The 17,573-nt window shown below is 37.1% G+C and overlaps 1 protein-coding gene across 15 annotated transcripts in view; it reads left to right on the forward strand.

Moving 5' to 3' along the window:
- ADK (adenosine kinase) overlaps positions 1-17,573 on the forward strand; it is a 558,070-nt gene that overhangs the window by 246,488 nt on the left and 294,009 nt on the right. For all 15 annotated transcript variants that reach the window (NM_006721.4, NM_001369123.1, NM_001202450.2 and 12 more), the window contains one exon: positions 763-871. In NM_006721.4, the coding sequence (NP_006712.2) occupies positions 763-871 (109 nt within the window). The remainder of the gene's footprint in view (positions 1-762; positions 872-17,573) is intronic.

Below are 17,573 nucleotides of genomic sequence, written 5' to 3' on the forward strand. Positions count from 1 at the left end.
TAAAATTATTTTGTAGAGATGGGATCTGGCTGTGTTGCCCAGGCTGACCTCAAACTCCTGGCATCAAGCAATCCTCCCACCTTGGCCTCTGAAAGAGCTGGGATTTCAGCTTTGAGCTACTGCACCCAACCTGCAGCAAGATTTTAAATGCAGTATCCTGCTTAGATATTCCATTTCTAAAATTGGACCAGTCAGGGGACTTTTCAACTATAGAAAACAATTCTAATTGATTTCAGCCCTTAGAATGTAATGGTTTACAAATTAATTCCTCTTAGCGAATATGGTCTACATTTATAAGTGTCTTTTACGAAATTAATTCCATATTTGGCTTTTAAAGGCTTCGATTAAATAGACAATTATAGTATGTTGATATTTATTTTTATAAAGATATTTTTCTACTTAAAAAATGTTTTTAGTTGCATAGATTTCTTTTTATATAATGAGTTAGCCTTATTTCTTAACTGCATTTTGAACTATTAAGGTGTAAAAAGTAGGTCCTATTTTACTATCAAAAGGCAACTTAAATGCCAATTTCTTTCTCAAAATACCAGGTGTTGTTTAGAACAAAAATTATCATAGATGCCTCAGAAAGTTCTCAAAACAAAATTATTATTTATATTTATTTAAAAATCAATAACATTAGTTTTGAAGAATTAATTAAAATGTAAATTTTAAACTTTGCAAAAAATATTGGTAATTATCTATTGAAACATATGCTAAGTTTGACTATAATATTACTTGCTTATTCTTTGGTTGTTTTAGGTCCCTCATAGCTAATCTTGCTGCTGCCAATTGTTATAAAAAGGAAAAACATCTTGATCTGGAGAAAAACTGGATGTTGGTAGAAAAAGCAAGAGTTTGTTATATAGCAGTAAGTACTTACCTAATTCAAATCTCTAGTACATATTTACATGATGGATTATAGTTGTTGTCTGATATATATTTTAAAATAATTATCTTTTATTTACCCTGCAAATTATTTATCTCTCTCAAAGCATATGTTAGATTCACTATTGTGAAAATAGAACAGAAATCATTATCTTTCTATGGGTAACATAATTTGTATTATTTATCTTCAGGTCTACCTATTTTTGGATACATTATGCATAGGTGCTTGCCAACCAAGCGCAGAATTCTATATTAAATCAGTTTCCAAATATATTTTAAAATAATTCTACAAACTTACATCTTACATTTGTAGGCAACTTGCATTGTGCAGAAAAATATTAGTAGTATAAATATTCACTGCAAATAGTTTGAGCTGAATTGCTTAAAAAACTTAATTGCTATTTATTCCATAGTAATTACCATGACACCTCTTAATTTAATATTTCAGAAACATTGATCGTGACAAATCTCTTAAATCTGGGAACAAGGGCAGGGTGTAATTTGAATTATTAAGTCTTCTGACACAAAAATAATTGGTTAAGAATTTATTTCTAAAATAGGATGGTACTAAAAATTCTGAATTAATCACCCCATGATTACCTTGTTTTTATTTAATATGTGTTAAATGTGGCTTTACACAAATAAGTAGATACCTATGAAAAAAGCATCTCGTATGCATGTAATATATGGTTTTGGTATAACAGCTGCTGCCATTTCATTACCTGAGCTCTGTGAAATAGCTGGTAAGATGTGTAAAAAATTGATTACCCTACTAGGAGGAACATGTTTATTGAAAATATAATTATTTCTTTCAGTCTAATGTTAATGTCTCCTACAGCATGTTTGTGTGCACTGTTCTAGGCTTTACAACATTGTTATTGATTCCTCTGTATACCAAATCCTATCCCTTTATAACTGTCAAATAAATGCTTACATTGAGAAGATTATATAATGGAAAGTTATGCTATCTTTTCTGCCAGTATGTGAGAAAAACATTTCAAGAATTAAATATTTTACCCCTTTATTATTTCCATTTCATTTTATTTCTCAAATTGGTCTCATGTTCTTTCCATTTTTCAAATCTTGATACTGTATTTCTTGTAGTGTGATTCTTTAGAGGGGATTTATGTACTATTTCAAACCATCTTACACTTGAAAGTCTGATTTTCAAAAAGCACCATGTTTAGAATTTGGCATAATTTATATATACTTGTTGACTATGAAATAAGACAGTGTATTCTGATGAAAAAGTATATTTAACTTGACAATTACAGTCTTCTATGTTTCAATATATAGTTGTTCAATCCTGAATTGTGAGCCAACTTGCAAACAACTCATAGTTGTAATGATTATACAGTATAACATGTCTAGCCAACTTTGGGTGAATGGAACTTTTATGAAAGTGTAGATTCAACTTGCAGACAACTCATAGTTTTAGCATTTATGCACTATATTGTATCTAGCCATATTTGGGTGAATGGAGTTTTACAGTAGTATTAAATATTTATACTTACGTGCAATTTTGTACAGCATAAAGTGATCAGCTTTTGGTGAAATTAATAAGGCAAATGATATTATTTTTGAGATTTGGGTGGTGTATTCAGCCAGAAGAAATAACAAAATGGATTTCAGTTGTTATCTGTGATACAAGTGTTAGCTTGTAGCTTCTGTTTCAGCAGTTTCATAAAAAGAATGATCTCTTACATTGCCAGGTAAATCTGTACTCTTCTCCTAGCTTGGCTTATTCCAAAATAGTTCTGAAAATAGTAGACTCATATTGGATACCTGGGACGCTGTATATTCTTAGTGAACATTCAACAAATATTTACTTGGTGAATAACTAAGAGCATAATTCGTATTTATTGAAATCTGTAAACTTCCTTTTGAAATACAATGTTATTTCCACAAAGACACTGCAGGTTTTGCAAATCTGTAATTCCCTTTGATTTCAGAGCATTCCGAAATGATGTGTAGTCTAGTCTAGTTTTTTCTTAGCATATGGTCAAACCATAAATTAAGTGGGCTGCCCCATACTTTCTGGTTCTATGAGGTCAACAGTCTCATTACATTATCATCATAAACTAATGAGGTTTAAGAAATTAAAGTTCTGGGGGCTCTTTAATTCTAAAATGTTTTTGATCTAAGGAAGCAACGCAGTTTATCTATTCAACAAATATCCGTAACTAAAACATCTGTCTGCATCACATAAGCTAAACCAGATCTACATACTCAGCTCTGCTTCTTCACACTATTCTCCAAACTAGCAGTGTTTCATGAATATTAAGAAAATTCCAAACCTTCTTCTTCATTTTCTTCACCATATAATTTACTGAGTAAGTTCACACTGGAAACCTTCCTGACTGAAAAGCTAAAATTGAATATGGATACACCAGCATCCTCTTTTGGTTTAAATACAGTGCCAAGATCTTTTAAAATTTATTTTTTACCTTTCATAATAAATGTCTCATTTTATGCCACGTAAACTCAGTTTTTCCATGTTTAAACCAGCTTCTCAGATTCTTTGTTAGCAGGTAATTAGGGACTACTGGCTATGGTGACTAGGTAATTATGTTTTTGAAAACATAAGTCTCAGGTTCTCTTCACCTTAGAATCAGATTGGGATATATCTGTTTTTTCTCACTTAAGAAATAATATTTCCTGGCATAGTGGTTTATGCCTGTAGTCCCAGTGCTTTGGGAGGCCAAAGCCAGTGGATTGCTTTTGGTCAGGAGATCGAGTCCAGCTTGGGCAACAAGTAGGTCTCTAAGGACTTGCTTTATGAATCTGGGTGCTCCTGTATTGGGTGCTTTATGAATCTGGGTGCTCCTGTATTGGGTGCATATATATTTAGGATAGTTAGCTCTTCTTGTTGCATTGATCCCTTTACCATTATGTAATGGCCTTCTTTATCTCTTTTGATCTTTGTTGGTTTAAAGTCTGTTTTATCAGAGACTAGGATTGCAACCCCTGCTTTTTTTTTTTGTTTTCCATTTGCTTGGTAGATCTTCCTCCATCCCTTTATTTTGAGCCTATGTGTGTCTCTGCATGTGAGATGGGTCTCCTGAATACAGTACACTGATGGATCTTGACTCTATCCAATTTGCCAGTCTGTGTCTTTTAATTGGGGCGTTTAGCCCATTTACATTTAAGGTTAATATTGTTATGTGTGAAGTTGATCCTGTCATTATGATGTTAGCTGGTTATTTTGCTCGTTAGTTGATGCAGTTTCTTCCTAGCCTTGATGGTCTTTACAATGTAGCATGTTTTTGCAGTGGCTGGTACCCGTTGTTCTTTCCATGTTTAGTGCTTCCTTCAGGAGCTCTTGTAAGGCAGGCCTGGTGGTGACAAAATCTCTCAGCATTTGCTTGTCTGTAAAGGATTTTATTTCTCCTTCACTTATGAAGCTTAGTTTGGCTCGATATGAATTTCTGGGTTGAAAATTCTATTCTTTAAGAATGTTGAATATTGGCCCCCACTCTCTTTTGGCTTGTAGAGTGTCTGCAGAGAGATCTGCTGTTATTCTGATGGGCTTCCCTTTGTGAGTAACCCAACCTTTCTCTCTGGCTGCCCTTAACATTTTTTCCTTCATTTCAACTTTGGTGAATCTGACAATTATGTGTCTTGGTGTTGCTCTTCTCGAGGAGTATCTTTGTGGTGTTCTCTGTATTTCCCAAATTTGAATGTTGGCCTGCCTTGCTAGGTTGGGGACATTCTCCTGAATAATATCCTGCAGAGTGTTTTCCAACTTGGTTCCATTCTCCCTGTCACTTTCAGATATACCAATCAGATGTAGATTTGGTCTTTTCACATAGTCCCATATTTCTTGGAGGCTTTGTGCGTTTCTTTTTACTCTTTTTTTTTCTCTAAACTACTCTTCTTGCTTCATTTCATTCATTTGATCTTCAATCACTGATACCCTTTCTTCCACTTGATCGAATCAGCTACTGAAGCTTGTGCATGTGTCACGTAGTTCTCGTGCCATGGTTTTCAGCTCCATCAGGTCATTTAAGGTCTTATCCATGCTGTTTATTCTAGTTAGCCTGTCGTCTAATCTTTTTTGAAGGTTTTTAGCTTCTTTTAGATGGGTTCGAACATCCTCCTTTAGCTCGGAGAAGTTTGTTATTACCTATCTTTTGAAGCCTTCTTCTCTCAACTCGTCAAAGTCATTCTCCATCCAGCTGTGTTCTATTGCTGGCGAGGAGCTGTGTTCCTTTGGAGGAGAAGAGACGCTCTGATTTTTAGAATTGTCAGCTTTTCTCCTCTGGTTTCTCCCCATCTTTGTGGTTTTATCTACTTTGGTCTTTGATGATGGTGACCTACAGATAGGGTTTTGGTGTGGATGTCCTTTCTGTTTGTTACTTTTCCTTCTAATAGTCAGGATCCTCAGCTGCAGGTCTGTTGGAGTTTGCTGGAGGTCCACTCCAGACCCTGTTTGCCTGGCTATCACCAGCAGAGGCTGCCAAATATTGCAGAACAGCAAATGTTGCTGCCTGATCCGTCCTCTGGAAGCTTTGTCTCAGAGGGGCGCCCAGTTGTATGAGGTGTCTGTTGGCCCCTACTGGGAGGTATCTCCCAGTTAGGTTACTCAGGGATCAGGGACCCACTTGAGGAGGCAGTCTGTCCATTCTCAGATCTCAAACTTTGTGCTGGGAGAACCACTACTCTCTCCAAAGCTGTCAGACAGGGACATTTAAATCTATAGAAGTTTCTATTGCCTTTTATTCAGCTATGCCCTGCCCCCAGAGATGGAGTCTACAGAGGCAGGCAGGCCTCCTTGAGCTGCTGTGGGCTCTACCTAGTTCGAGCTTCCTGGCCGCTTTGTTTACCTACTCAAGCCTCAGCAATGGCGGGCACCCCTCCCCCAGCCTCACTGCTTCCCTGCAGTTGATCTGATAGCGGACTGCTGTGCTAGCAGTGAGCAAGGTTCCATGGGCATGGGACCCTCCGAGCCATGCGTGGGATATAATCTCCTGGTGTGCCGTTTGCTAAGGCCATTGGAAAAGCGCAGTATTAGGGTGAGAGTGTCCTGATTTTCCAGGTACCGTCTGTCATGGCTTCCCTTGGCTAGGAAATGGAATTCCCCAACCCCTTGCGCTTCCCAGGTGAAGCGATGCCCCGCCCTGCTTTGGCTCACACTCTGTGGGCTGCATCCACTGTCCGACAAGCCCCAGTGAGATGAACCTGGTACCTCAGTTGGAAATGCAGAAATCACCCGTCTTCTGCATCACTCACGCTGGGAGCTGTAGAATGGAGCTGTTCCTATTCCTTTTTTTGTTTTGTTTTGTTTTGTTTTGAGATGGAGTCTTGCTGTGTCATCCAGGCTGGAGTGCAGTGGCACAATCTCTGCCCACTGCAACCTCCGCCTCCTGGGTTCACACCATTCTCCTTGCCTTAGCCTCCCAAGTAGCTGGGACTGCACGTGCCTGCCACCATGCCCGGCTAATTTTTTGTATTTTTAGTAGAGACGGGGTTTCACCATGTTAGCCAGGATGGTCTCGATCTCCTGACCTCATGATCCACACGCTTTGGCCTCCCAAAGTTCTGGGATTACAGGCATGAGCCACCACACCCAGCCTAATTGTTTTTTTTTTTTTTAATCAGCTTTGTTAATATATGTCTCACAACTTACAATACATACATTTTACTTCTACATATATATTATAAACATCGTAACCTTGCTGCTATTTTTGTTTAAATTGTCAAATATATATTTTAAAAGACTTAATAAGAAAAAATTCATATTTTTACTCAGGTATTTATCATTTCTAGTTCTCTTTATTCCTTTTGGTTAGAATTAGATTTCCATCTGGTATCATTTTCCTTCTGCCTAGAGGGCATTCTTTAACATCTCTTGTATTTGGATCTGTCAGTAATAAATTCTTTCAGCTTTTGTATGTTTGAAAACATCTTTATTTCACCTTCATTTTTGAAAGACATTTGTGCCAGATATATAGTTCTAGTTTGACAGTTTTTCAGTACATGAAAAATGTTACCCCATTGCCATCTTACTTGCATAGTTCTTGATAAGAAATCTGACATTCTTTTGTTCTTCAATGTTTCACAACCCCCATTCCCCAAATTTTGCTGCTTTTAAGATTTTTCATATGAGACCAGGTGCGGTGGCTCACACCTGTAATCCCAGTGCTTTGGGAGGTCAAGATGGGAGGATGGCTTTTGAGGCATGGAGATCAAGATTAGCCTAGGCAACATAGTGAGACCCCATCCTTACAAAAAATACACACAGAGAAAATTACTCATTTTGATCAGTTTAGTTATGATGGGCCTTAGTGTATTCTTCTTCATGTTTCTTGTGCTTGGGTTTTGTTTAACTTCTTAGAGCTATCGGTTTTTAGTTTTTATTATGTTTGGAATATTTGCAGCCATTATACATCTTCAAATTGGTTTTCTGACCCTTTTATGCCACTTGAAGTTGTCTCATAGCTCACTGACACTCTTTTTTTATTTTGTTTCTTTCTCTATGTTTTATTTTGGATACCTCCTTTGCTGTGCCTTCCATTTCACTAATATTTTCTTCTGTAATACCTGAACTGTTATTAATCTCATCAAATAAATAAAGCTAAATATTTCTTACTACTGGGGGAAGACTTTTCTTAGTACTCCATGGCACAGAGCACTAAGGGGTCCCTAATCTCTGGTACTGCAACTATATCAGTTCCTGTTAGGAACCAGGCCACACAGCAGGAGGTGAGTAGCAGGCCACCAAGCATTACCACCTGAGCTCCACCTCCTGTCACATCAGCGGAGGATTCTTTTTTTTTTTTTTTCAAATGTGAAAAATCTAATTTTATTCAGTTTAGATTAATGTATAGCTATACACTCTGGACTCTTAATGAAACCTTTCCCATTCTTTTTTTTTAGATTTTATTATTATACTTTAAGTTTTAGGGTACACGTGCACAACATGCAGGTTTGTTACATATGTATACATGTGCCATGTTGGTGTGCTGCACCCAGCAGAGGATTCTTATAGGGGTGCAAATCCTATTTTGAACTGCACAAGCGAGGGATCTAGGTTGTATACGTCTTATGAGAATCTAACTAATGCCTGATGATCTGAGGTGCAACAGTTTCATCCTGAAACCACGCCTCCTACCCGTCCGTGGAAAAATTGTCTTCCACAAAACTAGTCCCTGGTGCCAAAAACGTTGGAGACTTTGATGAAAAAAATGATGAGTTTTTCTGCTCTAGGTCTTTGAAACAGCCACTATTTCCAAATGTGTATGTGCCTCAGGTACTGTTCCTTCTATTTTTTTTTCCTCTTAATACTTTTGGATGTTTCTTTCCCAGGTACTGACCTTAAGAAAAGACCCTCTACAGAATTCCAGGTTTCTCTGTAAATCTTTCTGTTCTCTGATATTGTGGTCTTTCAACTCTTAACTGCTCTGAAATTCCCAGACTCTCAGTTGTATTTCCTCAACTCACTGGCATCTACTACAGTTCTCCTTATACCATATTCTGGAAACTCTTGCAATAAACTGCTGTAGTCATATGGCTGACCTCCATTGTTTCCCATCTCTCAGAGATACGTATTTTTTATTCTTGATGTCCAGTGTATTAAAAACCATTGTTTCTAGTTTTGCTATTGTTGTTTCATGATAGGGAGTAAATCTAGTTTCTGTTCCTCTACTGTCTTCTGCTTTGCATTGTTTTTGAAAGGAAGCCTGCTGCCATTCCTATCATTGTTCCCTCTTACCTAATATGTCTTTTAACCTCCTTTATCTGCTTTTAAGATGTTTATCACTGATTTTAAACAATTTTATTATGATGTACCTTGGCATAGTTTTATATTTTGTGTGGTTGGGGTTTTTTATAGTTTCATTCACTTTGGAAATTATTTAACAATAAGTTTTCTCTTTCCACCTCCATCTACCTTTGGGACTCCGATTAAAATAATAATAATAATAATAATAAGAAGAAGAAGAAGAAGAAGAAGAAGAAGAAGAAGAAGAAGCCACTTGTAGTTGACCCATGTCTCAGTGATTCTGTTTTCAATATTTTTGTTTTTCTATCTGTTCTTCATTTTGAATAATTACTCTCTCCCCTATTTTGTCTTTTCTTTTTTATTTTTATTTTTATTTTTTGAGATGGAGTCTTGCTCTGTCACCCAGGCTGGAGTGCAGTGGTGCAATCTTGGCTCACTGCAACCCCCGCCTCCTGGGTTCAAGTGATTCTCCTGCCTCAGCCTCCTGAGTAGCTGGGACTACAGGCACGCCTCACCACACCCGGCTAATTTTTGTATTTTTAGTAGAGGTGGGTTTTCACCATATTGTTTCGGCTGGTCCTGAACTCCTGACCTCATGATCTGCTTGCCTCGGCCTCCCAAAGTGCTGGGATTACAGGCGTGGGCCACTGTGCCTGGCCTCTTTCTTTTTTTTTTTTTTTTCAGACAAGTTCTCGTTCCGTCGCCCAAGCTGGAGTGCAGTGGCACAATATTGGGTCAATGCAACCCCCACCTCAGCCTCCCAAGTAACTGGAACTGCAGGAGTGCACCACCATGCCTGGCTAGTTTTTGTATTTTCTCTAGAGACAGGTTTTGCTGTGTTGCTCAGGCTGGTCTCAAACTCCTGAACTCAACTTATCTGCCTGTCTCGACCTCCCAAATTGCTGGGATTGCAGGCATGAGCCGCCATGTCCAGCATTGAATAATTTCTATTACTCTGAAGTTTACTAATTATTTCATCTACAATGTTTAATCTGCCATTAATCTCATCCAGTTGACATTTTATCTCTGACATTATAGTTTTCATCTCTTGAACTTTGATTTGGACCTCTTTTACTCATGCCATATCTCTACATAGTATGCTTATGTTGTCATGTGCTTTCGGAATGTTGTTATAACAATTGTTTTAATATTCATGTCTACTAATTCTGTCACTTTTTTTTAATCTGATTACCTTGGTATTGGTTTTTCCTGATTACCTGGGTATTCATTGTTTCCTCATACATGTGTACTGAAGACTCCAAAGGAATCCCTTGCATATCTCGAGTTCTCACTTTCCACCTCTTTCTTCTCCAAGCAGCTCTGTCCTCTCCAGTACTCTGCCCCAGCATGTGGTAGCCAGCTTGGCCTCCCTGAATGGAAACTACTTGACTCTATTTAGGTTCTTCCTTCCCGCTCTGCAGCCTGGGAACTCTATTCAAGGTGTAAGTTTGAGTAATTGTAGCGCTTACCTTATTCTGCCCCTTCTTTGATTATTATCCAATGCCTGAAAATTGTGTTTTCATGTATTTTGTTCATTGTTAGTTGTTTAAGATGGGAATATAAATCTGCTCCCTGGTCCTTCATAGTGGCTGGAAGTGCAAATCTCTAGGTTGATTTTGGTTTTTCCCTTTTTCAGGTAACTCGCTTTTTTTTTCAAGAATGCCTAATTTTTTTATTTGAATTTGAGTCTCAGTCTGTTGCCCAGGCTGGAGTGCAGTGACACAATCTCGGCTCACTGCAACCTCCATCTCCTGGGTTTGAACGATTCTCCTGCGTCAGTCTACCCAGTAGCTGGGATTATAGGCACCTACCACCATGCCTGGCTGAGTTTTGTATTTTTTTTTTTTTTTTTTAGTTGAGATGAGGTTTCACCATTTTGGCTAGGCTGGTCTTGAACTCCTGACCTCAAGTGATCCACCCGCCTTGGACTCCCAATGTGCTGGTATTACAGGCATGAGCCACTGCCCCCAGCCTGAATTTGAATTTGATAATAACTATGATTTATCTCTATGCGAATTCTGTATTGAGTTTTCCTCGAACAATGTATTCATTTTAAACTGTAGATTTCATTCCCAGTTAACTTTCTTGTCCCCAAATATTGTTTCTCCTTTACTTGACCTATTGGAGTGTCAGAAAATGATCATAACCATCACTGATAAATGTGTTATGGGGAATATTAGAGTAAAAGCAGAAATTCCAAGTTGTGGTGAGAAAGTACAGTAGAACCTTGAACAATGTGAGGGTTCTGGGCACTGACCCCTTCGAAAATCCACATACAATGTTTACCTCCTCAAAAACTTAACTACTAATAGTAGTTAATTGGAAGCCTTACTGATAACGTAAATAGTTGATTAACACGTATTTTGTATATGTATTATATTCTGTATTCTTACAATAAATTAAGCTAAAGAAAAAATGCTATAATATCATATGGAATGAAAATATATTATTATTCATTAAGTGGAAATGGATCATCATAAAGGTCTTTATCTTAGTCATCTTCATGTTGAGTGGGCTGAGGAGGGGAAGAAGAGGAGGAGTGGTTGGCCTTCATGTCTCAGAGGTTGGCAGAGGCAGAAGAAAATCTATGTATAGGTTGACCTGCACAGTTCAAATTCATATTGTTATAGTATCAGTTGTAATCTTAAATTCATCTTCAGGTTGATTTAGTGTCAAAATTCCCTCAAATATTATTCTAGATTCTATAAAATGTTCTAGATACCATTTTATCGCTTAAAAATAAATGTGAAAGCTCTCAGCTAAGATATAGTTGTTCATCTATGTGTAATTACTAGTTTTGTAATTTTTTGTAATTTCTTAGTCACCTCTGCATAGTGTTTGGATTACATTGTGAGTACAGTAGGATTTTGTTTAGAAATCTATGCGTTATTTCAAATAACATCTCTTTATGATAGGAAAAAAGGTTCCAAGTTTGAAATAACACTGTGAAGAACTAATCACCATGCAAGTTTAGGCTTATTATGGGGAAATTTTTAAACTTTAGGTATTAAAAAGATTTTTAAGAAATAGATTTTAACAAACTTTCAGTACCTTGTGACTTACCCTGCGTAAACAAGGTCAGCCAAATTTGTACCCTGTTTCATGGATTAGAAATTAAACACTATAAGTGAAAGAATAATAAGTCATATCTTGTCAATAATTTTGTGAGAGTATGAGACTTGTGGTGAGTTTTCCTTTAGCACTCATGCCTATTTTCTTTTTTAAATTATTTTTTCAGTTCCTATGTCTTATTACAGGTCTTCTCTTTTCCTCTCTTCATTTATTTATAACTCTGTCTTGACCACTTATATCTGTTTTCGGTCTAGAATTTTACTACTTTGGAGAATGTGGTTTTTGTGAGGGTAGAGTTTTCAAATGTCACTAATGTTTGCTTCTGGAATAAGGGAAGTATGATTATAGGTCAGTAGAAGAAACATGGTATGAAGAAATGTACAGCCTTGGTGGTAAGCAATAGAATTCATACTTACAAAGAAACAGAAGTATATGTATATTAAAGGCAAGTAAGAATCACTACCAAATGTTTACATTTTACATCTCCTGCTTTGTTTGCCCTATAGGTTTTTCATACCTATGCCATGAGTAACAATTTTTCTTAGTAAAACTTTCATTTATACTCAGTTACAATTAAATATCTTTATCAGTAATCTAAAAGCAATAAAGCCCTTAAAATGAGGTAGTGTGATAAATTATAAGAAATCTCATCTAAGAAATCATATGTTTGAAATTTTACGTGTCAGTAATGTGGTTTGTGTCCATTGAATTAACAAGTTAGAATGAATTTATAATTAAATAAATAATTTCTATTTTTTTAGGATTTGGTTATCTTTTGGCAGTATTTACCAAAAGACATGGTTACACTAAAACGTGACTAGAAATTTAAAAAGATTGCTCAAAATTTCATGCTCAGAATTTAGAACGTGCCATCTAGTATTCTTTGCTCTGTCATGAAAAGATTTGAGAAAGTTTCAGTGAAAGTGAATTAAGTTGTTTTGTAATGGTAACCTAATGGAAATTGAAGTAATTTTTTTTTAAAAAAGGTAAGTATTATTTAGGCCAGGCACAGTGGCTCAAGCCTGAAATTCCAGCCCTTCGGGAGGCTGAAGTGGGTGGATCACCTAAGATCAAGAGTTTGAGACCAGCCTGGCCAAAATTTTTGGTAGAGACCAGACCATCTCTACTAAAAATACAAAAATTAGCCAATCATGGTGGTGCATTCCTTAGTCCCAGCTGCTGGGGAGGCTGAGGTAGGAGAATCGCTCAAACCCAGGAGGCAGAGGTTGCGGTGAGCCAAGATCGCGCCACTACACTCCAGCCTGGCTGACAGAGTGAGACTCTGTCTGAAAACAAACAAACAAACAAACAAAAACTTACTTAAAGTGATAGCTTTAAACCTTATTCGACCATGGAACAAGCCTTTGTAACATAATCTATACTGTTACAATAAGTACACTTTGGCAGAGTAAGTGAACTAATGATTTTTTTTTATAATTTAAGCTAGTCTGTGAATGACAGTTGATTAAATAATGTCACAGCTCTTTATATATAGCATTAAATAGAGTTCAAAGTATTTTTGGAATTTATTAATTTATAATATTCTTCTGTGATTATTAAAGAGGTGGGATAGCTAAACTTTTTCTCACCTTTTATCATTGTTCCAAGTGCAGTTTTGAACTCGTATGTGTTAGAACTCCCATTATATTGGTCAAATCGATGATCACCATATGACTTTATTCCTGCATTTTTGCCTCAAATTTTTAACTATCCTATTCTGGACTGCTTCATTAACTTCATTAGGGATTAACTATGAATGTTTAAGCCTTTATTTTACAATGTCCTTGCAGGTGTCCTTAACTGTTTCATTTATAAACACAGAGAATAAAATGAAAAAAAAATCTGTAGAGTTGTTTGTTCTATTTGGAGCTTTTCATGTTGGTGTAAAATTCCTGACACTTAACACATATGAATCTTTTTCATTCATGTTTAATAATTTTATTTGAGAGTCACTTCAAGTAAAGCCCAAACTGTGTTAACATTTGAGTTAAGCAAAGACATCTTTGCTTAACAATAAAGCAAATATCACAATAAAGCAAGTCACATGAATATTTTGGTTTCTGAATTCATATAAAAGTTATGTTTACACTATATGGTACTCTCAAGTGTGTGGTAGCATTACATCTTTAAAAATAAACATACTTTAATTAAAAATACTTTGTTGCTAAAAAATGCTAGTGATCATCTGAGCCTTTAGCGAGTAATAATCTTTTTGCTGTTGGAGGGTCTTGCACCAGTGTTGATGGCTGCTGACTGCTCAGAGTGGTGGCTTCTGAAGGTTGGGGTAGCTGTGACGATTTCTTAAAATAAGACAGCAATGAAGTTTGCCACATCAATTGACTCTTCTTTCATAAAAGATTTCTCTGTAGCATACAATGTTGTTTGATAGCATTTACCTACAGTAGAACTTCTTTGAAATTGGAGTCAGCCCTCTCTAACTCTGTTGTTGCTTTAACAGTTATGTTTATGCAGTATTCTGAATTTTTCGTTGTCATTTCAACAGCATTCATAGCGTGTTCACCAGGAGTAGATTCCATGTCAAGAAACCACTCTCTGTGTTCATCTATAAGAAGCAATTTCTCATCCATTCAAGTTTTATCATGTGATTGCAGCAATTCAGTCCTATCTTCAGGCTTCACTTCTAATACTAGTTCTCTTGCTATTTCCATCACATGTGCATTGACTTCTTCCACTGAAGTCTTGAAGCCCTCAAAGTCATCCATGAGGGTTGGAATCCACTTATTCCAAACTCCTATTAATGTTAATATTTTGACCACCTCACATGAATCGTGAATGTTCTTTTTTTTTTAAACAGGGTTTTACTCCTGTCACTCAGGCAGGGAAGTGCAGTAACAATCACTGCACATTGCAGTCTCAATCTCCCAGGCAAGCTCAAGCAATCCTCCCACCTCATCATTTATTTTATTTTTGTAGAGACGAGGTCTCACCATATTGGCCAGGCTGGTCTCGAACTGCTGGGCTTAAGTGATCCTCCCACTGCGGCCTCCCAAAGCGCTGGGATTGCAGGTGTGAGCCACCATGCCCAGCCCATGAATGTTCTTAATGACAACTGGAATGATGAATTATTTTCAGGAGGTTTTCAATTTACTCTGCCCAAACCCATCAGATGAGTCACTATGGCAGCTATAGCCTTATGAAATATATTACTTAAATAAGATTTGAAAGTCAAAATTACTCATTGATCCATGGGCTGCAGAATGAATGTTGTTTTAGCAGCCGTGAAAACAACATTCATCTTCTTATACGTCTCCATCAGAGCCCTTGGGTTACCAGATGCATTGTTAATGAGCAGTAATATTTTAAAGGGAATCTTTTTTTCTGAGCAGTAGATCTCAACAGTGGGCTTAAAATATTCAGTATACCAGCTGGGCACAGTGGCTTATGCCTGTAATCCCAGCACTTTAGGAGGCCAAGGCGGGAGGATCACCTGAGGTCAGGAATTCGAGACCAGCCTGGTCGACATGGTGAAACCACATCTCTACTAATAATACAAAAATGAGCTGGGCATGGTGGTGCACACCTGTAATCCCAGCTACTCAGGAGGCTGAAGCAGGAGAATTGCTTGAACCCTGGAGGCGGAGGTTGCGGTGAGCCAAGATTGCGCCATTGCACTCCAGCCTGGGTGACAAGAGTGAAACTGTCCCCAAAAAAAAAAAAATTCAGCATACCATACTCAAACAGGTATGTGTTCATCCAGGCTTTGTTATTTCATTTATAGAACACAGGCAGAGCAGATTTAACATAACTCTTAAGGGCTCTAGGATTTTTAGAATGGTAAATGAGCATTGACTTCAACTGAAAGTCACCAGCTGCATTAGCCCCTAAAAAAAAAAGAGTCGTCCTATCCTTTGAAGCTTCGAAGCCAAGCATTTACTTCTTTTTAGCTGTAAAAGTCTTCAATAGCATCTTCTGCCAGTAGAAGACTCTTTTGTCTATGTTGAAAACCTGTTGTTCAGTGCAGCCACCTTCATCAATGATGTTGGCAAGATCTGGGTAACTCTTCAGCACCTGCTATTTTACCTTGCACTTTTATGATATGGAGATTGCTTCTTTCTTTCAACCTCACAAATTAGCCTCTCTTAGCTTCAGACTTTTCTTGCACAGCATCCTCACCTCTCAGCTTTAACAGAATTGAAAAGAGTTAAGGTTGTGCTCGGGATTAAGCTTTGACCTAAGAGAATGCTATGCTGGTTTGATGTTCTATACAGACCAGTAAAACTTTCTCCATGTCAGCAATAAGCTTATTTCACTCTCTTATTCATGCGTTCACTGGAGTAGCACTTTTAATTTTCTTCAAGAACTTTTTCTTTGCATTGAGAACTTGCCTGTTTGTTGTGAGAGGTCAAACTTTCAGCCTGTCTCACCTTTCGATATGCCTTCCTCACTAAACTCAATCATTTCTAGCTTTTGACTTAAAGTGAGAGACATGCAACTCCTCCTTTCACTTGAACACTTAGAGACCACTGTAGGATTATTAATTGGCCTAATGTCACTATTGTTGTGTCTCAAGAAATAGGGAGGCCTTAGGAGAGGTAGAGAGATGGGGTAATGGCCAGCTGGTAGAGCAGTGAAAACACAGCATTTATCAGTTAAGTTCACCATCTTCTATGGGTGTGGTTTGTGGCATCCCAAAACAATTACAATAATAATATCATAGATCAGTGATCACTATAAAAGATATAAAAGTTTGAAATATTGAAAGAATTACCAAAATATGACAGAGATCCAAGCGAGCACATTCTGTTGGAAAATAATGACACCATACTCAAGGCAGGCTTGCCATAAACCTTCGATTTGTAAAAAAAAATAATAAAAAGGTATCTGTGAAGTGCAATAAAATAAGGTATGCTTATACCAAAACAGACTTAATTATGCTATTTCTTACCATTAGTGTTAGAGTTCAGTTTCTAATGTTTTTCATTTTCCATATGTTATTGATGTTCAGTGAGTTACACAAATTATTTACTGTTGTTACTTCCACCTTAGTAGGGAGAATCTTTGATTTTTGCTGGATAAATTTTCAAACAAGAGTGTGATTATAGGCTGGACGTGGTGGCTCACGCCTGTAATCCCAGCATTTTGGGAGGCCGAGGTGGGCAGATCACTTGAGGTCAGGAGTTGGAGACCAGCCTGGCCAACATGGTGAAACCCCCTCTCTACTAAAAATACAAAAATTAGCCGGGCGTGGTGGCGCATGCCTGTAATCCCAGCACTTGAGAAGCTGAGGCAGGAGAATGGCTTGAACCTGGGAGGCAGAGGTTGCACTCCTGCCTAGGTGACAGAGTGAGACTCCATCTCAAAAAAAAAGAAAAGAAAGAAAAGTGTGATTACAGAGATCCTATTTGTGTTTATTTTTAATTTCTCTAGAATTTGTTTTCTTCAATAAATAAAATTCTAATACCAGTTTTTTTTGAGTAACACTGTGATTTTTATACAGAAAGACTTTCTCCAAATTGGAGAATGTACTCTTTTATTCCTGTAATTTTTCTTAACTCTTATTTTTGGCAGCTACCAAAAGTAAAACTCTCTACCAAGACAGAGAAGAAATCTTTGGGAATATTAAGTAATGTTATTTTTCATTACACGGACTAACCTTTTTACTAAGAAGAATTGGGATAGTATTGGTTATGGGAGCTTAGGAGCCCTAAAGATAAAGATTGGAAGATTTTGTGTTGTGGACTTGTGGCACTGTAACAAAGTCTGGGAATTTTATGTGAGATTGGAAACCACACTATGTGCTAATTGCCTCAGAATGGTAAGAAAATAAGCATATGTATAGCATTTAGTTGTTAAGACAGTAGGCACTTATGCAGAGCCCCAAATGAATTAACAAATCATCTACTGAAATATTTTCACTTCTGTTTACTTT

This window comes from Homo sapiens, chromosome 10 (assembly GCF_000001405.40).
Source record: "Homo sapiens chromosome 10, GRCh38.p14 Primary Assembly".
In the NCBI taxonomy this organism is placed as follows: domain Eukaryota; kingdom Metazoa; phylum Chordata; class Mammalia; order Primates; family Hominidae; genus Homo; species Homo sapiens.